This window comes from Homo sapiens, chromosome 2 (genome assembly GCF_000001405.40).
Source record: "Homo sapiens chromosome 2, GRCh38.p14 Primary Assembly".
Taxonomy (NCBI): domain Eukaryota; kingdom Metazoa; phylum Chordata; class Mammalia; order Primates; family Hominidae; genus Homo; species Homo sapiens.
In genome coordinates, this window is record NC_000002.12 from 63,043,296 (window position 1) to 63,064,314 (window position 21,019).

The following is a 21,019-nucleotide window of genomic DNA, read 5'->3' on the forward strand; positions in this document are numbered from 1 at the left end:
TTATTATTTTTTAAATTATTATATTCAAAGAAACCCTTTCCAAATAGTTTCTGTATTCATCTCCATGCTATAGAATATTTCATTTTTAAAATAAAAATGTAATAGTGATCAGTTATTTAAAGTATTTGTGTGGTTTTATATCGAATGTGGATAATTAACATATAGCATGTTTCATATAAATATGTATGTATGTGTTAGAGCTTATAATGAAAGAAATAGTGATAAATTGAATAAAACAGTCTAGCTTTTTGCTGCTTTTCTAACCTTTATTGCATGATGATGCATCTAATTTTTAATTTGTAAATACAAGATAGAATTCCCTCTAGCACCATTTGCTTTCATAAAGCTGCTGAGCAGTTTGCTGTCTTGAATAAATTTTGCTTTGGAGGGGGTCGGGGGGGATTTGAACCAGCACATTCTTGTGTGGTTTGTGAAGATTCACATGGTAACCAGCGGTGTGCATTGTTAGGTTTATCTGAATAAGCACCAGCCATGTGAGTTTTAACATGATTGCCCAGGGCAATGGAGAGAGAAGAGAGAAACCCAAAAGGATTGCACTTCTCTCTGTTTTTTGGAAAGTGCATTTGCTGGGGGAGGGGGCTGCAGGAGTCAGTGGCCATGGTTCTTTTTTTTTTTTTTTTTTTTTTTTTTTTTTTTTTTTTTTTTTTTTTTTTTTAAGCTGGTGTCCTGTTTCCCTCTAGGTCCTCATTTGTTCTGCTATCTGCCTCATCATCTACTTCTTCTTTTCATTGTTTACCTTCCTAATGAGGGAGGCGGGGTAGACTGGGGGTTGATTGACAGCTACAAGCCCTTACAGTCTGGCCAGAGAGCAGTTGGCTTTGGTTTCAAAAGTGTTTTAAATGTTCGATTTGGTCCTGTTTCTATTAAATGAAACTGCTGCTCATCTTAAGGAAATCATCAGACCAGCAAAGATTAGGAAATATATTATTGGGGTCTAAAACCTTCAAAAAAAAAAAAAAAAAACGCCCCCCATCCATGGAAAGAGCACTGCCCATCGGGTTTTCCAACCTTTAACATAGGGTTTCAGAAAGAAATATGTAATTTTTCCTTTGCAAAAGTGCTTTGATTTGAAACCACCCAGCAAACGTCTCCAAAAGAAAACTGGCTGTGATGCGATCGAGAGCTGCAGTGTAATATTGCAGAGCAAATTTATTTTTTACTTCAAAGAAAAATGCTAATTAGCCGATTCACTACTTTTAAAGTTATTGTGAAGCATATGGCGCCCAGTGTGAGATACATCCAACTGCTAAAATAGAGCGAAGAGGAAATTAGCGAAGAATGGGCTGTTTGGGGTGAGAGTGGGGGTGGGGGAGGAGGATAGGTTCTCAGGCAGATTCTCTAGCCTTTTCAGAATGATTTTATCGCCCATCACTGTTTCCCGCCTCCTCATTTACCCACTTCCCCCACTACCAACCCCTGGGCCAACCTCTTCTGGGCCTCTAGCTCCCCTCCCCCACTTTGGCTGGATTCAGGTGCGCACCTCAGGCTAGCCACCAGTTCACACCTGGTTCTAAGCAGGTTCCAACACTGCTGCAGCCATCTCCATTCACAGGACCTGTTTAGGAAGTAGACTTTTAGCGAGGAAGCCTTCACCACAACAGCCAAACTCCCCAGAAAACACTAGCTAGTGGCTCTATAATGTGGTTTGCTGAGAAATATAAGGAAACTGGAAAAGGCGGGAAGGGGAGGGCGGGGGGCCGGGTGTTCGGAGGCCCTGCCGGTGGGTAACTAGCCTCCCGTCTTCTGCAGACTGGCAGAAGACCGAGGCCCAGAAGCGACGCGAACAGCTTCTGCTAGATGAGCTGGTGGCCCTGGTGAACAAGCGCGATGCGCTCGTCAGGGACCTGGACGCGCAGGAGAAGCAGTGAGTGGGCAGTGGGGTCGGGTCGAGGCTGGGCCACCTGCCGAGGGGCCGAGAAGTGTGCGGAAAGTTCAATCCAGAGGTCGCGGGAGGGCCGGGGCAGCCTCCCACTGGCCTGGTGCTCCCCATTCCCGCTGGGGATCCAAATACTGGGCGACGGGGGAGTGCTGCTCTGCCCTCCACGAAGAAAAATAATTTTGTTTCCTGTTTGTCCTGTTTGTCTGACATCCAGGGCCGAAGAAGAAGATGAGCATTTGGAGCGAACTCTGGAGCAAAACAAAGGCAAGATGGCCAAGAAAGAGGAGAAATGTGTTCTTCAGTAGCCATCAGATCAGAAAGAATCTCTCCCAACATTTTAGAGTCTTGCTTCCCAAACCAGAAAAAGTCAGACTCATTGTTGATTTAAAACTTTTAACATTTTGTTTGGCTGGATTGTACTACTTTACCTCTACTTTACCACCACCACCCTTTTCCTCCCTCCTTTCCAAATAATATACAGAACTCCAAAATAGCTTCATTTAAGGATTTTTTTGTGAGTTAACAATTTCCTTGAAATCCTGTGAAATAGATTTGCACAGACACCTTGTGAGTGATTGGTATTGGAGGTGTTCAAGAAACTGTTCGAAAAAGAACAAAAACACTTCCCTCGTTATTTTCTCTCATTTTTTGATGAGAGGAAAATTTGAAACATTATTCTTGTTGTTGTTGGTAATAGCATAATGACAGTGGGAGGGGTACAAGGGGATAAGAAAAATGTCATGATTTTTTTCCGGTCCTGCCACATGTAACACTTACTCTGTTACCTAAATTTTATAGTTAGATCATATCCAATCTACTTATTAAACTGTGTTCTATTTACCAGTGGAGTTTTTCTGCAGTGGTTGCGTTTCACTGTAAGGATAATGGAGTTCCTCTCCTCTGCTTTCCTCAGAGGATGGTCCTTTAACATAGCCAGAAACAAGCCCTGTGGTTTGAAGGTGAGCTGTGAGGATGGGACTAATTGATATGCACCAGTTTACAAAGACAGTCTTATCATCCGAGAATACACCATCTTTTTCTCTGGATAATTATTTCTTACATCATGCTTGATTCCTACATTTTGTTGGGTCTCAACATTGGCTCACGAATGCTGTTAATATTTATTCTGTATTGATAAAAAGTCTGTCTTGCCACTACAAGTAAATCCCCCATTTAATATTTTCTTCTTTAGCATAGCACTGTCATTTTTTGTGAAAATGGTTATGTTTATTTATTACAATACTGAGTCATATATAAATTTTCAATAAAAGCAGAAACTTTCTTACCTTAAACACGGCTGCTACTTTCTTGCAATGAAAACTTGACATTGGCTTGAATGGAAGTTTGTCTATCCGTAAGACTTTTCATGTGGAAAATGGTCCTCTGGAACTTAGGGCAGGATACTGGGCTGCATTTGAAGCTGAATAAGTTTACACCATCCCAGAGGGGGCCCTACTGACACACGAATGCGAATTGAAAAGTAATTAGTCATATTCTTAAGCAGTATAAACTATCATGTCTTTTGTAAAGGGTCATCTCTGCTAAAGATTTGAGGAAATTTGTGATTCCACACCAATGAAAAACCAATATTTATATCTTGAATTTTCCACGTCATTACTTTGAATTGTTAGAGTTTTGAAGTCGTATTAGGGAGAGTCGTGTCTTCTGATAACCGGCAAGTCTGTAGGTACTGAAGTGAAAGGAAGAGGGTTATTGTTGGGGGGCGGGGAGAATGTATGCAGGTATGTGTGTATGAAATGAGGGAAAGAGAACTTTTAACAAGAAGTTCTAGGCTACAGAAAAAAAAAAAAAGCGATTCTATGCTAGTTTCCTTCATTCCCCCACAGGGGTGTCCAAACAAAGAAAGCTTGTTCAACAAGTCCAGAAACTTAGAGAAAAAAGTCCACTAGCATTTATACTTCAGCGTAGATCGTATGTATGTGCACACAAACAAATTTCGTTCCAAGTATGCAGCCACCTCCAGTTGCCAGTCTTTCAAAATGATAAAAACTTGCTACGGTAGAATTCCTTCATGATGAGCATTTCTTTTAAGTTATTGAAAAGTTATTTTAAGTAAATGAAGTCGGTATTTGCCCTCTTTATTCGAGCACGAGAGCAGAGAGAGAGCTGCTGCTCTCTGGGGAACGCTCTCAGAATCCCGTTCTAACCCCGGGAAAACTCAGCAGACAGAAATCGCCCGCCCCAAGCAGCCTGGGGCCTGGGCGGCCAACAGCACCCACCCAGTTTACGCTTGATTCGAGGAACCTTCACTCCCGAGGGGCCTCGCCGAAAAGCAGCTCCTTCGCTCCCGAAGCCGCTCCCAATCGGCCAACTGACAACCCTTCCCTCGCCCCAGATTTGCTAGGATGGTCTGGGACCGCCGGGCGGCCCCTCTACCTGCCCCTTCAGCTTTAGTCCCGAGCCTCTCGGGGTTTCAATTTGGGCTGCTCGGTGGCGCCCGAACGCCCCTCAGCGGCGGTGGAGCGTGGACTCCGGCGCCTGGCGGGGTAAGGCCCGCGGCAAGGGCGCTGCATCCGGACATCGCTGCGTGGTGCCCAGACGCTGGCTCCCGAGAACGGGCACGAGCCCAGCACGCCGGAGGACCCGGAACTCGAAAGCCCGCGCTGCGGGAAAAGAGACTATCGGTCCGAGGGTCGCAGAGGAGCAGGGGCGTTGGCAGCGGGCTTGCTTGGGCACAGTCTGCGGGCCGGAGCAGAACTTCCGCCCCTGGTCAGATCCCTCGGCCTCAGATCCAAAGCCCTCCCCTTGTCCCAAGTGTCCTCCAGAGCCTGGCCGGGCCTGGAGGTCACCTGGATGCTGGATCCTTGTCTCCACACCCAGCTCCCTCGCCCCTTCCCGGCTCGAGGGCCTTGAGCTGGACGGCTTCACCTCCTCCAGTGGTGTCCCCACTTCCCCTTCCCGCACCGCGGCCGATGCTGGAACGGTCATGGCTTCTGGCCCAGCATCTCCCACCTGGACATTTGCCTAGCGACGGCCGCCTCAATCCTCTGCGCTGCTTTCAAGAAACTTTCATCCCAGTCTCTCTCCCTCTCCACTCTCCTCCCTCTCCCCCTCTCCTCTTTCTTTTCTTAATCCTGGGGTTTTATGGGCTGAGCGTTAAGAAAATTCGCCTGCAATTTGGGATTAGATAAATACTCTAATTAGGAAAAAAAAAATCCGTGCTACTTGATACCTCCCAACTTCCCCGAGAATGGTGGCAGCATCTGGAACCGAGAGCGCCGGCCTCCCGCGAGGCGTACCCCGGGGACCGCGCTGGCACATTCCAGAGCGCACTGCCGTCCCACCTCGCTGCGCCGGACCCAGGTCAGGTGCTGAGGCTGCAGGCGAAACAGGGCCTGGTGGAGGGAGGAATGAGTTAAGGTGGAGGAATGGGGCAAGGTCACGCGCCCCGGCACTGGAGGGCCAACCCCGGCACACAGCGGACTGGCCGGGACTAGGGCAGCGCCGGGCTATGGACGCGGACGCCGGCGAAGCGCACCCCGGGACGTCCGCATATTCTTTCCCCCAAAACTAGTGCGCTCCAGCCGGCGCCTTTCCTCGGAACCTAAGGAAGGGGTATATTTCGTTGCTTTCTTTAAACCTCAGCACGATCACAGTGGCTCCGAGCCGCGGGCGGCTGACCGCGGGCCTCGCGGGCTACTCCTGGTAGGGGCCTGCGCGAGCCTAAGGTGTGTCCCCGCCTGGGTTAGCGCTGCGCTCTGCACTGTTTCTTTTCCTCTTAAAGCTTCTTTCTCACTCACTCTCTCCCTCCTTCTCTCTCTCATTTTTTCCCCATTTCTCTCGTTCTTTTATTCAGCTTTCTCTCTTTCTCTCCCTTTTGTGAATGGGCCGCGGTGTCTTTGTTCTGTAGAGAAGCGCCCGTGTCGCTGACTTTTGTGAACCAGAGAAGGATCTTGTAAAACCTCCTTTTCTCCTTCGTACGCCCCCACTCCCACCCCTCCTCCCCTGCCTCTTTGATTAGATGTTCCCTCATCGTCAAAAAAAAAATGTAATTTCGTTGGTCTGGCGGCCACTTTCTTTGAACATTAGCTCGCTTTCAGCTCCAACTTCAATTAGAAGGAGTTGATTTTGAGAGATCAACAAAAGAACCGACCAAAGCCTTATTAAAGGTCCTAAGAAGATCTCCCGGGTCCTTTGAGAAGCAGTTAAGGAAACAGTGTGCCCTCCATCATATTCTGTTACCGTATTTTATTCGGACTCCAAAGGAAAGTGTCGCTTGGGGGAGGGGGAAGCACTTTGATGAGCGGCGGCCGCGGCCCCTTTTCACTCAGCGGGCTCCCCCTTCGTTCTCCTCCTCCTCACCCAGCGCCCGGTCCGCTCTCGGCGCCCGACCCCGCAGCCCGGGCAGCGCGAGTGCTCCCCACTGCGATGCGCCTGGAGGCTCCTTGACTTGCCCTCACACTTAATCCTGTGCAAACTTTTTACCCCGCCTGTCGGGGTGGGGGAGTGGGGGAGATTAGAAACAAGGGGTAGAAATTCCTCGAAAGGGAATAAAGTGCCTAATTTTCAGGAGGAGGTGCCATTTAAAAGATTCGCCTAGCTTAGAGTTGGAACGAAAACTCTTTTTTGCACTTTTAAAAGTCCACCCAGGTAGACGTGTTTGGGAAGTTTTTTCGGGTGGGAAATGGGCTTCGCCCGTACGAACAATCCGGGGAAATCGCCTCAAGGAGGATCCTTACGCAGCATGTGGAAAAAAGTTGAGGGCAGGGGTCTGTGGCCACATTTTCCATCAAAAAGTCCCTGTTAGAGGCAGTCTAAGAAAGAGAGAGAAAGAGCGAAAAAGAAACTTTCCTATCAAAATGTTTCAATTAAGAAGTAGGGTGTACGTGTGAGGGGAAGAGGACGCTGGGCTCCAACGTTTCAGTAGAAGCGCTTAAGACTTGCAAACACCCTTGGTGGGGACCTGGAACCCCGGGAGATGCCGACGAGCAAGCAGGTAAGTGGCGGCGCCCTCCCAGTGGGTGCTCTTCCCAGGCGCGAGAGTCCGGAGGGGCCGAGGAGAGATCTGCACGCCCGGAGCTGCTCCCGCGCTCTGCAAAGTAGCCTGCGCCGGCACGAGCAGCCCGCGGCGTCGGTCTCAGGTGGCGGCGCCGGGGAAGAAAACGCTGGGGCCCGCGGCGCCGGGAGAGGGGCCGAGGCCCGGGCTCCTCCAGCCCGCCGCCCCCGGGTCCTGGCGCCCACACCCGAGCGGCTGAGCCCTGTAGCGCGCGGGAGAGCGAAGGAACCGGTTCTCCAGCACCTCGCCTCCTCCCTGCCACTCCCTCCGGAGCGCCGAGAGCGCGAGAAGGGCGGGGGCGCCCAGGGCAGGCCTGGAGACCCACGGCCCCCTCCGCGGCCAGGACTCGGGCTCTCCGCTCGCCTTCCTCGCCTAGCTCTGCGCCGCTTTTGCCAGCCGAGTCCCGGAGTTAGCGCGCGACCGGGGCGGGGCGGGAGGGCGGGGAGGGCGGGGTGTGGGGGGCGGGGGAGGGCGGGGGCGCGCGGAGGTAACCCCCGGCTCGCGCAGCCATTGCCCGGCTCCCTGTCACTCAGCCCGCGCGGGGCCCCCGATTGGCGGCCTAGCCCCGTTACGCACTCGCCTCGCGTTCACATACCCGGGGAGGGCAGTAGAAAGGTGATCAATCTTCATCAGGCTACATTTCCAATCACCTAAACAACCGAGCAAGACAAGCCACTCCGACAAGGTAAATCGCTTGATTTATTTAGTTTGCAAAGTGACTCTGCAGGACTTCCCAGTCCCCACTGCCTCCACGTTGCACCGGGAGTGCCGCGGCAACGCCGAGCCACCTCCCAACTCTGCCCCTCGAATTCCCCCCCTTGCGGCCCCTCGGCGCGATCCCAGGCGAGGCAATGTCCTGAGAACGTGTGGGGCTTAGCAAACAAAGTGTCTGTGCAATAAAGTGAAACCCAGAAGGACACGCACAAAGCCATTGAAAAAAAAGATAGAGGTGGGAAGAAGGAAGTTGGGAAAAGAAAGAAACCTGGGGGTCCTAGACCAGCCGCCAGGGTAATTCCAGTGCTGCTCTGTTTTGCAGGTTGGCTGCCCGGCGGGTCTCTGTGAGAGATCCAGGTAGATGGTGAACGGCCCCGGCAGCTGAGGGCAGGTAAGGAGAAAGCCGCGGGGCCACCCCGGACTCCGGGAGCGCGTTGGTTACCCTTATCTCCCCCTCCTCAAATGGATCCCGGCTTCCCCGGTCCCCAGCAGGTGGTCGGGGCTGTGGGAGCGGCCTGGCTCCCCTCTTGGTGAGCCGAGGACCCCGGGGCGCTGTCGCGGCCCGCAGCCCCCTCCCCCGCCTCCTCCGAAGTAACCAAGCTGAAGTGCTAAGTTTGGAGAAAGTCTTTGAAAACTCACGCTGCAGCTTCGCAAAGCCGTCGCAGCTTTGAGTCCCATTTTCCTTCGGCCCTAGAGCCCTGGCTGCTTCCCTTCCGGTCCCCTTCCTACAAGCTGGACTCCCTCAGCCCAGGTCTTGGGTCCCAGAAGACGGGGGCGGGAACGGGGCTGGGGGGAGCTTCTTTAGCTCTAACTTCTCTCCTTGAACGTCCTAGCCCGAGTCCCTGGCTTGCTTCACAGCGATCCCGCTAAGCGGGGTGTAGCGATGGCCCCCCAGGGCCCCAGGCCCAGTTTCCAGCGCCCCTCCCTGACCCCTGAGAGTGGCACCCCGGGTTCCCGGCAGCGGCGGGGGCGAGGCTTCGACCTCCCAGCTCGGGTCTGCGTGGGCTACGCCGCTGAGGCCTAGTTCTCTGTTCTCGACCGTGTCCTGGGGCCGCGGGTTCAGCTACAAGGATGGCAGCACGCGACTTGCTGCCCTCCGGCTTCACAAATCCCCGAGACCCTTTGAGGTGCTAGGCCAGTCACCCTTCACCCCCTGCTGGGACCCTGCGGTCCGCAGCCCAGACTGGGCAGAGAGAAGGCCGGGTGCGCGCTGGCAACGAAGGACGCTGGCCGCAGCTGAGGCGCTCCCGACCTCAGGCCGCATCTTGGGGTCGCCCCCCTCTACAGTGGCCCCTTCGGCGTCCTCTGGCCCTCTGCGAAGCCTGGGCCCGTTACTGCGGTTGAGGTGCGGTGGGATTTCGCGTCAGCGATCTTTCAGTGGCTGGGCACAGAGAGGTCAGCTGGAGTGGTGATTGCGGGATCTGGGGCAGGGGCGCAGCCCTGGAGACCTTTAAAGGAACCAAGTGTCTAAGTGGACAAGAAGTGCAATTAGCCCTCCACATTGGCCCTTTGTAGTCTCTACCTTTTCAAAAACACGTGAAACAAAATGAAACAACGCCTCATGCTCTGGGCGGCCTGCCGTCCGGGCACCAAGTGAACCTTTGCTTGTGCAACATGAAGCTGGCTTCTGCCGGATTCAGAATTTTGCCTGGACTTGGGAGCTTGTACACTCCGCGGTTCTGGCTCTGACCTCCCCAGCCTGGCCCTGCTTTTAACTTCTCCTTACTCCTATGGACTCCCTACCAGTGTCTTTGGCTCATTCCAACCCTAGAGCCAGACGACCCAGAAAACTTTACTTTTCAAAGTAACTGTGGTTTCTGGGCTAAGGCCTTGTGGATCCCAGTTGACCACCCTGCGCAGTTCTGTAACCTGCCTTCCCTGTCTATCCCGGGGCAAGACTTGGCAGCCAAGTGGCTCCGATTGACGGTTTCCGTGTGTCTCGTGTCTTCATAGGCCAGGCCCCCAGACGCATCAGACCCTGAAGGACTGCGTGGTGGGAGCCCTGCACCGCTCCTGGCCCCGGGCCCCCTGGATCCGTCGGGGCGCCTCCACCCAGCTGTTAGCATGATGTCTTACCTCAAACAACCCCCATACGGCATGAACGGGCTGGGCCTGGCCGGGCCCGCCATGGACCTCCTGCACCCATCCGTGGGCTATCCGGGTGAGCACCAGCCCTCCCGACCCTGCCTCAGCCTCTCAAATGTTGGGGACCCCCAGACTGTTGGATTTGAGTGCAAGCTTTGTTGCTGAGCAGGCCCAGGGAGCCGGCTGCAACACAGGGCCCACTGTCTGTTTACAATACAGGGCCCACTGCCGGCGCATGGGGCAGAGTCGTGGGCGTGTGAGGTGGCCAGGGCTGAGAAAACGCGCAATATGCGCCTTCCCGGCCGGATCACCGGCAACCTTTCTCCGGTTGTGGTCCCACCGCCAGCGCAGAGCTCATTTACTTGCGGATTCGCTACCCAGGGGCGGCTAGTATTTTTCCTTTTTCCCCAACATGGAATGTGTAATCTGGACACTCGTTAGGCCCTGACAGAAAGAGCCAAACTTTCCTTATGCGAAGCGGCAGGCTGCACTGAAGGAGTATTCTTCCTCCCTAATTAAATTGTCCTCTAAATCGATGTCCTGCACCCATTTTTGCGCTGCTGTAGAGGACGACTTGAGCCAAAGCCGGGGTTTCTTTTTTAGCTCCCGCTCCTTTACCTCATTTATTTTCTCCGAAAGTGTTTTTCAGGTCGTGTTTCTGCCTACCTCTTCCCCACTCCCTGTCCCCCATCCAGAGTGTGTGTGTGCGTGTGTGTGCGTGTGCGTGTGTGTGTGCAGGGGAGAGGGGATGTAGAAGAAGGGAGATTGTAGACTTCTCTTAACTTTTTTAACCTCTGAGAGGCATAGAGAGGGGCAGCCCTCGAATCTTGGAGACACTGGCTTCTAGTCGCACATCTGCACTTTCTCCCACCTGTGGCCTCTCAGGCTCGGCCGCCCGAGGGAGTTTCTTTTATTCCCAGTTCGGCTTTCTTTTGCGAAGGCCGAGATCTGGGCCTGCCAGGGGCCTGCCCGAGTCCTCTATCGCGGGTCCACGTGGCCACCAATGACCCGCGGCGCCCCCGCGTGTCCCCGCAGCCACTCCGCGGAAGCAGCGGCGGGAGCGCACCACCTTCACGCGTTCACAGCTGGACGTGCTCGAGGCGCTCTTCGCCAAGACTCGCTACCCTGACATCTTCATGCGGGAGGAGGTGGCGCTCAAGATCAACCTGCCGGAGTCTAGAGTCCAGGTGCGCACTCCCCGGGCTCCAGGGTCTGGGTAGGGGAGCTGAGGCTGCTCGGGGAAGGTCTAGGAAGGCTCTTGAGTAGTTCTTGAGGAGACCATCCTGTGGGGGTGGGCTTACAGACTGGGCAGCCGCTCTCGGACTCCCCCTAGCGCTGGGCCCCAGCCAGGAAAGGGGGCAAAAGTTAAAGGAAATGGCTTAGAGCCCTGGATTCCGCCTTTAGCCCTAGGGCGCCTTCGGTGTCGGTATCGAAAGTACTTTTTAGAATTGCCGGAGGACTAGGGAAGCTCCCGAATGTAAAGCGCCCTGCGGGCCTGACACTTGCCCCTGCTTCTTCGCCTGCCCCAGGACTTGGCAGTTTCCCTTAGAGGCCTGAATTCTGCCTCTGCCCTTGTCTTCCACCCCGGGAATCCTAGAAATGGAAGAGCGGAGATTGGCTGGAGCCTGGTGCTCTGCCTGGGTCTCATTAGACGCTTCCTCTGCTTACAGAGGATGCTAAGTGCAAAATCCTGCTGCCGGCTTTCTTATTTCTGTTTTTGAGATGAAAGGGTTCCGATGATAACGTTCGGATTCTAACTCAGAACTCTCCTCAAGAGTCTCGCCTCCTTTACTCGAAAGCTTGAGAAGGGGGACCAGGAATGCAGTGCCATGTGCTGGGGCTCTCCTAGAAGAGTAACCATTCCATTTGGTTCCCCACCTGGAGCCAAAGGGCCAACGAAATCCCACCCAGGCTTCCTTCCCGAGTCCCTCAAGTACTACCTCTGTTTAGCCTCTGGCCTTGCTCCTACCCCCACCCAAATACTCGCCCTGCCCAGTTCTGGCCTCCAGGAGCTGCTCAGTGAAACGGCTCAGGCCCTAGACTTGGTGACTGTTCCACACTCTTCGGCTCTGTACCTCTCCACTGTTGCCTGAGCTCTGTTAGTAGAAAACTGGGCCTCCAAACACACACGGGGCCTCCAAACATACACGGAAGCAGCCAACAGCAGCAATTTAGAGATGGCAGAACTTCTGACTGGGCAGACTGAAATATTCCGCCCTAGGGCAGAGTTGCGGTAGGGGTGGGGAGGTGCGCATCCCTGCTCTGGAGCCAGCTGAGGAGGGGCTTTGAGCAGAAGGATGGGGGAGGGTGGAGGAGCTGGGAACCGAGGTAGGGGGCAGGGTCTGGCCAGGCCAGAGACAGGAAGGGGCGGAGGCCTCGGTGAGAAAGGATTGCGATATTCTGGACCGGGAGTTGGGTCCGCGGGGCGGTGGAGCAACAAGCTCCCCTAGCTCCCTTTGACCCACTCTCCCCCATCCGGCCCACTGCAGGTCTGGTTCAAGAACCGCCGCGCCAAATGCCGCCAGCAGCAGCAGAGCGGGAGCGGAACCAAGAGCCGCCCAGCCAAGAAGAAGTCCTCTCCAGTGCGGGAGAGCTCGGGCTCCGAAAGCAGTGGCCAATTCACGCCGCCAGCTGTGTCCAGCTCTGCCTCGTCCTCTAGCTCGGCGTCCAGCTCTTCCGCCAACCCAGCGGCTGCAGCGGCTGCGGGACTAGGTGGGAACCCGGTGGCGGCCGCGTCGTCGCTGAGTACACCAGCTGCCTCATCTATCTGGAGCCCGGCCTCCATCTCGCCAGGCTCAGCGCCCGCGTCCGTGTCGGTGCCGGAGCCATTGGCCGCGCCTAGCAACACCTCGTGTATGCAGCGCTCCGTAGCTGCAGGCGCCGCCACCGCAGCAGCCTCTTATCCCATGTCCTACGGCCAGGGCGGCAGCTACGGCCAAGGCTACCCTACGCCCTCCTCTTCCTACTTTGGCGGCGTGGACTGCAGCTCATACCTAGCGCCCATGCACTCACATCACCACCCGCACCAGCTCAGCCCCATGGCACCCTCCTCCATGGCGGGCCACCATCATCACCACCCACATGCGCACCACCCGTTGAGCCAGTCCTCAGGCCACCACCACCACCATCACCACCACCACCACCAAGGCTACGGTGGCTCTGGGCTTGCCTTCAACTCTGCCGACTGCTTGGATTACAAGGAGCCTGGCGCCGCTGCTGCTTCCTCCGCCTGGAAACTCAACTTCAACTCCCCCGACTGTCTGGACTATAAGGACCAAGCCTCATGGCGGTTCCAGGTCTTGTGAGCCCAGGAATGAAAGAGGAGAAGAAACGCAACTACCTGCGCCCTCCGTGGTCCCGATCCTGTTGCTGCTGCTGCACCGCCCGCCTTTGCCTCGTCTTCTCCAAAACTGAATTTTCACCCCCCAAAAAGATGTCCATTGCCTGCACTGCCGCCCCCATTTTTGTGCCACTTGCTTGGGGGGATGTGCAAACCCACCCTGCCCCTTGGATGGGGGGACCGGTGCTTCGGCTTGGCCTACACATTCTATACAGGAGAGATGTATTATTTCCCCCCTTCAGCCCCTACTAAACTCTTAAGCCTCCCCTTCCAGTCTTTCTGGACAGCTATTAAGCACTTGCAGCCTTCGGAGGCTCTGCGCTCTGATCCGCTGTTTGAGCCCAACACTTTAATTTATTCTTTCTGGACACTGGAGTCACTAACTGGCGTGTTTCTGCCCATTGGAGCACCCGCACACTACTCCAAATCAAAACCACTAAGAGTTCCTCCCGCGCAGACTGCTGCCCCTTCAGCTGCCCTCGATTTTGCTCCACGCCTGCCGGCCAGAGCCTCCCGGCGTTTCTTCCGCCCCAGCGGAGTGCGCTGGGGCGCGCCAGGGCTAGGCCCGCCGGAGGAGCGCGTCCCCAGCCTTCCGCGCACAGAGCCGCATCCCGCCCCGCCCTGCGCTGGACTGGTTCAAGCTTCCGCCTCGGCGGGAACGCTGTACATAGTCAGGTCCGTTCCAGGGACCACTTAAACTTTTTAGTTGCTGTTGGTTGGTTGAACTGAACATATCTTGTCTTAGCACCCAGGAAACAGAACTTTAAGATATATACAGCACATATATATATATATACATATATATATACACATATATAAAAAACAAAAGCAAAAAATATTTTCCCTCTGTCCGTCCCCCTTCTGCTCTTCCTCAATCAATGGCGCTTTTTCTTTTTCAGTTGTTGCAAAGCTGCCCTGCCCTCTTCACATCTTCTCCCTCTGTGTATTTATTGAAGAGAACCGCTTGGTTTCAGGAAGCTGGGCGCGGGATATCCGAAGTGTGGAGGAAACAGACAAGTCAGGGTACAGAGGTGGGGGTTGGGCAGGGGCGCAGGGCTGACCCCCTCACCCGGTCTAAGCACAGGGTCGCAGTTCCAGTTTACAAACCTAAAACAAGAAAACCAAAACCAGGGAACAAAACAACAAAACAAAACAAAATCCGTAAAAGTACAGCATTAGGGAAAAACAAACAAACCCAGGCCCCAAACCCAGTTCCAACTCCTCTGTCGGCTTCTCTCTTTCAACACCCTTGTTTTGTCTAGTGAGTTTTTAGTGCACCTTCGTTCTCCGAAATCTGCGGAGAGCCCGCGCGCCTGTGTATCAATTTTGGCTTTGGCCGCTTCGTCCAGTAGGTGGGAAAGTAATTTGTAAATTTGATTTGTCTGATGTGAAGATCACAAATTACTTGTTGAAATGTAAGGCAGTCCCCCTCCTCCTCTTTATCTACATTACTTCCCGAAAATAAATGCAAATTAATGAACGGCTTGTCAGTGTTGCTCTTCTGATTCCAGCCCGAGGTCCTGGTCTCGGGGGGCTAAAAGCGAGGGAAACTCCGTGTTAATAACCCGCGTGTTAATGACCTGCGTGAAGCTGGAGGCCAAAGGATGAGGCGGGAGGACTTGGCAAGAGAAGTCCCCAGAAACTTTCGCTTAGGGAGTGTCTCCCCCCACCCCCACCACGCCCCTCCGCGTCAGCCTGGCCTCTTCCCCCAGGCGTTTTGACCCCGCATCCCCCCTCGCCATCCAGGACAGAGACAGGTGTCAGGACTCAATTCCCGAAGCAATTCCTTTCTCTTCAGAGGCAGGAGCCTGGCACTGATTTCTTCACCCTAATTGCCTGCACCAGAAAGAAGAGGGGGAGGGGAAGAGGGTCGGGAGGCGGGAAAGGATAGCTCTGTAATGCTCTCAGAGCTGAGCCAAAAAGGAAAAGAAAGCAAAACGACAAAAAACTGATCCGTGTCCTGCATGTTGGCAGCAGACAACCTTCCTTGCTGCTGAGCTGTCCCGGGTGGCTTCACCGCGGCTGGGGAATCCGAGCCATTCCTTCCACGTGCTAAGATGTCCCTCTAAGCCCTCAGCTCCTGCCAGAAGTAGCCAAATTACCTTTCTTCGTACTGTAAACTTCCTTTAAAACATACAAACTCATAACCTGGAAAAGTCGACAAGGACGCCTTTCACTTTGGCAGGGGAAGAAGACGACTGGCTTGCATCTGGGGGTCAGGAAGGACAGTTCCATCTCCCTCTGAGGGAAGACGGGGTTGAGGGGTAATCCTCCCCCAGAAAATGCAGAGCCTGGAACTGTCCAGACTCTGGCCTGAAACCTCCTGGGTGTAAGGCCATGAATCTGCTCGACTTGCTCACGGGCGGGAAGGAAACAAGGAAACAACGAAAAGTTTCCTGCGAAGTGACCAACATCCCCTATTTTTTAAAAATTCCGTGTGAGACCTGAGAACACACTGTGAAGCGGGGTTCGGAGAACGACCCCTCCCGCGTTCCGCGCCCAGCGGGGTCGCAGGGCTGCGAGCCCGGCTGTAGCAAAGCTTTCTCGGCCGCGTCCTCCCTCCGGATTCGGTAGGCCAGGCTCGGGCGCGCCCTTCCCACACCAACAAACCATCTTTCCCGACTCAGCAGAGGCCCACAGGGGCGCAGCCGCTGTCCCTCCGCCCTTGGCCCAGCGGCGCCGCCCTGGTACGCCAGGCCTGAAGGCAGGGCCGGCCCGCGCCACGCAGGGTCTCCCTTAGGCGGCGCCTTAGGGTGAAATGCGGGGCCAAGCCTGACCTGCCGGGGTGCCCCGTGGCATCTCTGGTGCGGACCCCGCACGTGCCGGGGAGAACTGGCAGGCGGCCAGGGCGAGGAGGCTTCCAGCTTGCGCCGCACTGGCCTGGGCACCCGGGCTGCAGGGCCTTTTGGGCCCTCCCCTCAGTGACCCTGCCTGTAGCGGCCCCAGGGCCGCTTTGGCTCAGGCAGCAGCTGCCAATGCCGCTCGAGGCCCGCGGCTCCCTGAGGCGAGCTCTGCGGGGCCCAGCAGTCCTCTTGGCTGCTAAATGGAACGAAACCAGGAGACCCGGCTTTGCACTCGTTTGGACAACTGTGTGGCCTCCGGAGCAAGGTACCCAAACCCTTGGGCCTCAGTTTCGTCGCAGTTGTTATTTGAACCCACTCGGCCTGGGACGTGCCAGAGCTTCACACTTTAGGTCGCGGCTGCGGGCGGGAGGGGCAGATGCGACCCCTGGGCCGGCCCCTCGGGGGCGTCTAGAAGCTTCGGCACCTGCATACTAAGGCCGGAGGGGGCTGGCAGCCAGGCACACCGAGGCCCGGCCGGAGTTCCCGCCCGGGGAACGAGGCTTCGAAAAGAGGCACGTGCTTCTCCCAGGGCCTCCCGCCAGGTGCTGAAACCCCACGGCACTGAGTGGAAACCGGAAGAGGGAAGGCGCCCAGGGCCTGCCGGGCCGCGGCGCCACCTGAGGCTGCCGGGACGCTGGAGCGTGGGGGAGTGGGGTGAGTGCGCTGCCGGGCCGGGGGCGGCGGGGGACGGCGGGAGGTGGCCAGGCCCGGCAGGGTGAGGGCGCTGGCGTTGGCCGAGAGTCCCTGGGCAGCGGCGGCGGGAACGCGGAAGGTTCCCTCCACCCCCACCCCAACCCCCACCCCCACCCCCGGGCCGGCCACCTGTTGACAGGCAGGTTCTCTGAGAACCGACTTCAGCTCGCCCTTCTGTCCAGGAAGTTTGTTCGGTTTGGGTTTGGGTGTTCGTGACACAATCGGAGCAATTAGAATTGAAGCAACTTCAGGAGATTTAGCAACCCGCGAAAATTTAGCAACGTTCAGACGTCAACAGTTTTCTTTCTTTGAGTGGTCAACGAAAACTTGACGTTTTCTACTCATACCTTGTATTCTCTGCTTATACTGTAGGGGCAAAAAAGTCTACTCTTAGACAAACGTGTGTGAAGTGCTTTAAGGGTAAGGGATGGGTCATATTTATGATTTTAAAGATTGCTTTTAATGTTAAAACTCTCTCAAGGGCACTGCTTCAATTTGCTGAAGTTCTGAACAGATTCGGTGAAGTAACCTCGTTTGTTGAGCCTTTCTGTAATTTTTTATACCAGTTATTGAGGATATATAGAGACAATGTTTCTCTAATTCATTAGTGGGTTTTTTTTTTTTTTTTTTGAGAAAAAAATCTTAAAGCTACAGGGTATTAAACGTAAGGGGGAATCTGATTCATAAGAAAAACAGGTAAAAACCTTAAGACGCTGGATGTCAGCAAATTCTTTTCTGCTACATTACAGAGACCAAAAAACGGAGTGGTTTCATTTCTTGTATCAAAAGAAAATTACTAGTTTTTAATGTATTTTGTGCAAAATAGCAATTTCCACAGCTAAATTGTGATTTTTTTTCAATTGTGAAAATATAAATTCACTACTCGCTCTGGCAGAATTAATTAATGTTAATGATGTCATTAGTGCCTGATGACAAGCACTAAGGTTTTCTTTAGAGGTAAAGAAATAAAATCTATCTGATATATAAATGTTGTTATTATATACATTATTGGTAAAGAGAATCTGTATCATTACTATTCAAGACCAAAAAATCACTTGGCTTCTGATGCGGAATTAATTTAAGAACAGCAACAAGATATTTTTGTAAAATTCCCTAATTAAAAACAGAATAAGTTCTCAACAAGTTATTCTATATTTTTCACACGTTCTCTCCCTTCCCCCATGCATTTTCATGTTTAAAATGAAAATGAAAAAAACCCTCAAGAAATATTTATATTAAACAATACTTGAATTAAAATCCATCACATTTTAAATGAATACTAAATAATAACAATGTCTTGCCTATTTGACAACAAGAAAACATCTTCATTAAGGAAAGAATCTGTTTTAAATAAATGTTTGGGTGTCTAGACTGTACTTTTTTGAAAACCAGCTTTTTTGGCTGTGTTTAGTAGATGATTCCTGAGAAAGCAATTATGCCTCTTAATTATCCTGTTGATATTTACTGATATCTGAAAAAAGAATTGAATTTTTGTGTGTGTGGAGGAGGGGAACATGCCATTTTGATCTAATGATTCTTCAATCATGTTTTAAAACTGAGTTGGATTTTACTTAAAACACATTAGGTGCATTTCCTCAAAAGTTTTAAAAATCAAAAATATTTGCCAAAAAAATCCAGTAATTTAGGTGAAATGGCAGTTACATGATACAGCCAAAATTGACACTGCTTTTAAATATATCTAGTTTTTTTCTCAGGGAAAAAATAGAGCAAAGAAGTGTATAGTGTGCTTGAAACTAAAATGCGTATCACTCTAATTTATGAAATTGTACACTTTTGTTTCTAAAACTATTACTTGAAAGATAGGGATATGCTTAAAATATGTTGGAGTTCTTTCTGACCAAATAGGACTTAGGCTCCATTTAATCAATGATGGTCCATCAACATTGAAACATTGGAAATCTATGGTGTTTCTAAAAATTGTGCCTCTTTTACCTCCTTTGAATCCTTTACTTGGTGACTAATATAACTAAAGGGACAAAATTGCATTCCTTTCCAATGGTCGCAAATACTTTTTTACAAAGGTTCATCTTTACTAAACAGATTATGAAAGCTATTTTAGAAAATTTTAGAAATTCTTTTAAAGTGGATTGTAAATTAGGATTTAAGGAACTTGAGTCAAAACATTTTCAGGATTGGAGTATAAATAGATCATAACTAATCTTTACACTCGGGGTAAAAAATAAAATGTAAGAATAAATGATCTCTGATTCAGCTTCTAAAGAGTATATAAAACATTTGGTGTCTAAAGAATGTATAAACATTTTCAGTACACAAATATTCTCATGTATGTTCAGCGCTCTAAATGCTTGTAAGATACATCATCTATCATAGCTATTTCAATAGGAATCATATTTTATTTTTAAAATTTGTTTTAAAAATTTTGCTGTGAAATATACAAAAGAAATTAAAAAGATTTGTACACTGCAAGGAATAAAATATACATGGAGCAACAAGTTTTTAACAAATACTTTGAAAAGTAGATTTGTTGTTGGTTACAATATCAGTGTTTAAATTTGATGTTGCATTAAATATATCTTCATGTTTGGGGGATTTGTTAAATCTTTTAGAGTAGTTACTGCTACTACGTAGGGACACTTTTTAAGGGAGAAAAGCACTTTAAATCATAAGATTAAAAAAAAAATCCATAGGCCTTTGTAAATTCATAGGGTTTTTCTTGGGTGGAAGAGATGTGCTTTATGTCTATTTGTATTTTTTATGAACGAGCACCCAGATAATCTACCTTCTTGTTTCTCAAGCATGAATATTTGACCTCATCCAGAGCTATTGCGTCAAATCTTGATTTCATTGCTGGTGTTTCATTGCTCAAATCCATGTTTCTAGCCCAGACTTCTCTGTTAGACTTCGGATACCATACCTGTACATGAACTAAATAGAGGCTATTGAATTTAAGCCCTTAGGGAAGTTAATGATATGATGTCTGGGACTTGCTTCAGAATAGTCAAGGAAGAGAGAGAGTAGGTCAAAAATAGAAGAAATAAGATTAGCCTTGAGTTGATAATTTTTGAAGCTGAGGGAGAGAACTAAGACTTTATTATACTATGCTTTTGTAGATTTAAATTTTTTTCTCTACTGTGAATAAAAGATATTTCATTAGTTCGTCAAAAGTAGTCTTTGTAGTAGATTGAAAAAAATTGCGCTTCCCATGCTTTGGTGTTTGTACAATATTATTCACATATATTGTTTTCTTTAAGTTGCCCAAGTCTTGTGAAGTTGGCAATGGTAAAGTGAGACTAAGTGGTTTGGTCACTTATTCAAGGTTGCATTATTGGTAGGTAGCAGATCTTGGTACTCAGTCTTCAGATTCCATTCTCATTTGCTCTAAGATGTACCTAAATTTTTAAGTATATTAACAAACATTAATTTTAAAATACATAACATATCATTTGAGAATCTGATTGCCAGATTAATATTAACAAAACATGCTTCATCTAAATTCAAGTTGTAAAAATTTGAGTTTCGGTCATTGAAAATTATGTCTTGGGATATTCTTACCTGTTTCTGGGCATCACTTAAATTTCATTTTAATGAGTTTTCTGAGAGATATTAACATTAATTAAGGAGACTAGTGATACCAAGTCTCATCTTTCTATTTTCCCCATTAATTCCTTATTAATTTTAATTTCTTACTAATTTTCATTTCTAAGTAATTAAAAAATTTGTTATTGGTGGGTTCATATTTATCAGTGGTGTTTTCTGTTCTTGACTGAGCCTTCTTTGCTCAGAATATTGCTACATTATAGGAGTTCTAATCCAGAGAATAAGTTTAAACCAGATATGGAGTTGGGATTAGATTAGTGGCTCTGTATTTGAGGCTTAGTTTATGTGTAAGTAAACATTAAGGTTTTTTTTTCCCCTAACTACACTAACTTGGAAACATCTATTTTTGAGTTTTGAAGCTTGTAGAGTGATTTTTAAAATCTCACTAATGGCAAATCCTTGTCTTTTTGGGTAAATTTTATTTTTCAGAGCTAAGTCTGGAAATTAAGAAATGGGTTAACAAGTTGGGTGGCAGAGATCATATCACTATAGGTCTTTTTTATGGAAAAGCAAAGAGCCAAAGTCTTGTTTAAGTTGTACCTTTATTCTTCAGGTTTTTAAAAACCCTTATTTTATGATTCTATTCATGCTAATGACTTCTTCAGTCTTCCCCTTACTTGATGTGAAAAATAAACGTTGTCTATTCATGTTTATTATGTTTAGAGAAAATAAATAGCACCTATTTTCTCCCTGTATTTTCTCAGTTGAGGCATCAACTTTATCGTGTACTCAGCTCAGCACCTGATAATCCTGCATACCTTTTATTTGGACTTTTTATTAGGAACTGAGATTTTTCTTTACCCTGAGATTGTATTCCAGTTAATAAGTCAGCTAAACCTTTTATCCAA

General features: G+C 50.4%; 2 protein-coding genes and 1 long non-coding RNA gene across 57 annotated transcripts in view, besides 11 other annotated features; 2 read left to right on the plus strand and 1 right to left on the minus strand.

The window, feature by feature from the left end:
- EHBP1 (EH domain binding protein 1) overlaps window positions 1-3,192 on the plus strand; it is a 372,610-nt gene extending 369,418 nt beyond the window's left edge. For all 52 annotated transcript variants that reach the window (XM_047443744.1, NM_001142615.3, XM_011532718.4 and 49 more), the window contains 2 exons: window positions 1,771-1,885; window positions 2,115-3,192. In XM_047443744.1, coding sequence (XP_047299700.1) covers window positions 1,771-1,885; window positions 2,115-2,205 — 206 coding nt within the window. In that variant the 3' untranslated portion in view covers window positions 2,206-3,192. The remainder of the gene's footprint in view (window positions 1-1,770; window positions 1,886-2,114) is intronic.
- Window positions 469-1,448: an enhancer, noted in NCBI's record as "OCT4-NANOG-H3K27ac-H3K4me1 hESC enhancer chr2:63270899-63271878 (GRCh37/hg19 assembly coordinates)". NCBI's record gives its function as "activates a minimal SCP1, AML or CMV promoter by ChIP-STARR-seq in primed H9 embryonic stem cells {active_cell/tissue: H9 hESC(primed)}" and the evidence as "EXISTENCE:reporter gene assay evidence [ECO:0000049][PMID:30033119]".
- Window positions 627-5,226, minus strand: EHBP1-AS1 (EHBP1 antisense RNA 1). 2 transcript variants are annotated; one of them, NR_033389.1, is made up of 4 exons: window positions 5,094-5,226; window positions 3,187-3,355; window positions 2,742-2,846; window positions 627-2,148 (listed from the first exon to the last, which is right to left on the minus strand). It is a non-coding gene; the product is annotated as an EHBP1 antisense RNA 1 (long non-coding RNA). The 2 variants fall into 2 exon arrangements; NR_027069.1 differs by lacking the exon at window positions 5,094-5,226 and adding an exon at window positions 4,141-4,416 and having other exon boundaries at window positions 3,187-3,352.
- Window positions 1,449-2,428: an enhancer, noted in NCBI's record as "OCT4-NANOG-H3K27ac-H3K4me1 hESC enhancer chr2:63271879-63272858 (GRCh37/hg19 assembly coordinates)". NCBI's record gives its function as "activates a minimal SCP1, AML or CMV promoter by ChIP-STARR-seq in primed H9 embryonic stem cells {active_cell/tissue: H9 hESC(primed)}" and the evidence as "EXISTENCE:reporter gene assay evidence [ECO:0000049][PMID:30033119]".
- Window positions 4,538-5,286: an enhancer, noted in NCBI's record as "H3K4me1 hESC enhancer chr2:63274968-63275716 (GRCh37/hg19 assembly coordinates)". NCBI's record gives its function as "activates a minimal SCP1, AML or CMV promoter by ChIP-STARR-seq in naive H9 embryonic stem cells {active_cell/tissue: H9 hESC(naive)}" and the evidence as "EXISTENCE:reporter gene assay evidence [ECO:0000049][PMID:30033119]".
- Window positions 5,265-6,673: an enhancer, noted in NCBI's record as "VISTA enhancer hs1066". NCBI's record gives its function as "enhancer in: hindbrain (rhombencephalon)[5/5] | midbrain (mesencephalon)[5/5] | forebrain[5/5]" and the evidence as "EXISTENCE:transgenic organism evidence [ECO:0001131][PMID:17130149]".
- Window positions 5,265-6,784: a biological region, named in NCBI's record as "VISTA enhancer hs1066".
- Window positions 5,287-6,036: an enhancer, noted in NCBI's record as "NANOG-H3K4me1 hESC enhancer chr2:63275717-63276466 (GRCh37/hg19 assembly coordinates)". NCBI's record gives its function as "activates a minimal SCP1, AML or CMV promoter by ChIP-STARR-seq in naive H9 embryonic stem cells {active_cell/tissue: H9 hESC(naive)}" and the evidence as "EXISTENCE:reporter gene assay evidence [ECO:0000049][PMID:30033119]".
- Window positions 6,037-6,784: an enhancer, noted in NCBI's record as "NANOG-H3K4me1 hESC enhancer chr2:63276467-63277214 (GRCh37/hg19 assembly coordinates)". NCBI's record gives its function as "activates a minimal SCP1, AML or CMV promoter by ChIP-STARR-seq in naive H9 embryonic stem cells {active_cell/tissue: H9 hESC(naive)}" and the evidence as "EXISTENCE:reporter gene assay evidence [ECO:0000049][PMID:30033119]".
- OTX1 (orthodenticle homeobox 1) lies at window positions 6,440-14,536 on the plus strand. 3 transcript variants are annotated; one of them, NM_001199770.2, is made up of 5 exons: window positions 6,440-6,857; window positions 7,954-8,022; window positions 9,585-9,792; window positions 10,752-10,903; window positions 12,206-14,536. In NM_001199770.2, the coding sequence occupies exons 3-5, from the start codon at window positions 9,696-9,698 to the stop codon at window positions 13,019-13,021; spliced, it is 1,065 nt and encodes a 354-aa protein (NP_001186699.1). In that variant the 5' UTR covers window positions 6,440-6,857; window positions 7,954-8,022; window positions 9,585-9,695; the 3' UTR covers window positions 13,022-14,536. The 3 variants fall into 3 exon arrangements, 2 of the variants coding, with proteins under 2 accessions (NP_001186699.1, NP_055377.1); NR_130153.2 differs by lacking the exon at window positions 6,440-6,857 and adding an exon at window positions 7,535-7,602 and having other exon boundaries at window positions 10,637-10,903; NM_014562.4 differs by lacking the exon at window positions 6,440-6,857 and adding an exon at window positions 7,535-7,602.
- Window positions 6,901-7,560: a silencer, noted in NCBI's record as "silent region_11542". NCBI's record gives its function as "represses an Ori minimal core promoter by ATAC-STARR-seq in GM12878 lymphoblastoid cells {active_cell/tissue: GM12878}" and the evidence as "EXISTENCE:reporter gene assay evidence [ECO:0000049][PMID:35858748]".
- Window positions 10,343-11,289: an enhancer, noted in NCBI's record as "H3K27ac-H3K4me1 hESC enhancer chr2:63280773-63281719 (GRCh37/hg19 assembly coordinates)". NCBI's record gives its function as "activates a minimal SCP1, AML or CMV promoter by ChIP-STARR-seq in naive and primed H9 embryonic stem cells {active_cell/tissue: H9 hESC(naive and primed)}" and the evidence as "EXISTENCE:reporter gene assay evidence [ECO:0000049][PMID:30033119]".
- Window positions 10,936-10,985: an enhancer, noted in NCBI's record as "active region_15874". NCBI's record gives its function as "activates an Ori minimal core promoter by ATAC-STARR-seq in GM12878 lymphoblastoid cells {active_cell/tissue: GM12878}" and the evidence as "EXISTENCE:reporter gene assay evidence [ECO:0000049][PMID:35858748]".
- Window positions 12,961-13,520: an enhancer, noted in NCBI's record as "H3K27ac-H3K4me1 hESC enhancer chr2:63283391-63283950 (GRCh37/hg19 assembly coordinates)". NCBI's record gives its function as "activates a minimal SCP1, AML or CMV promoter by ChIP-STARR-seq in primed H9 embryonic stem cells {active_cell/tissue: H9 hESC(primed)}" and the evidence as "EXISTENCE:reporter gene assay evidence [ECO:0000049][PMID:30033119]".
- Window positions 14,537-21,019: the final 6,483 nt, after the last annotated feature.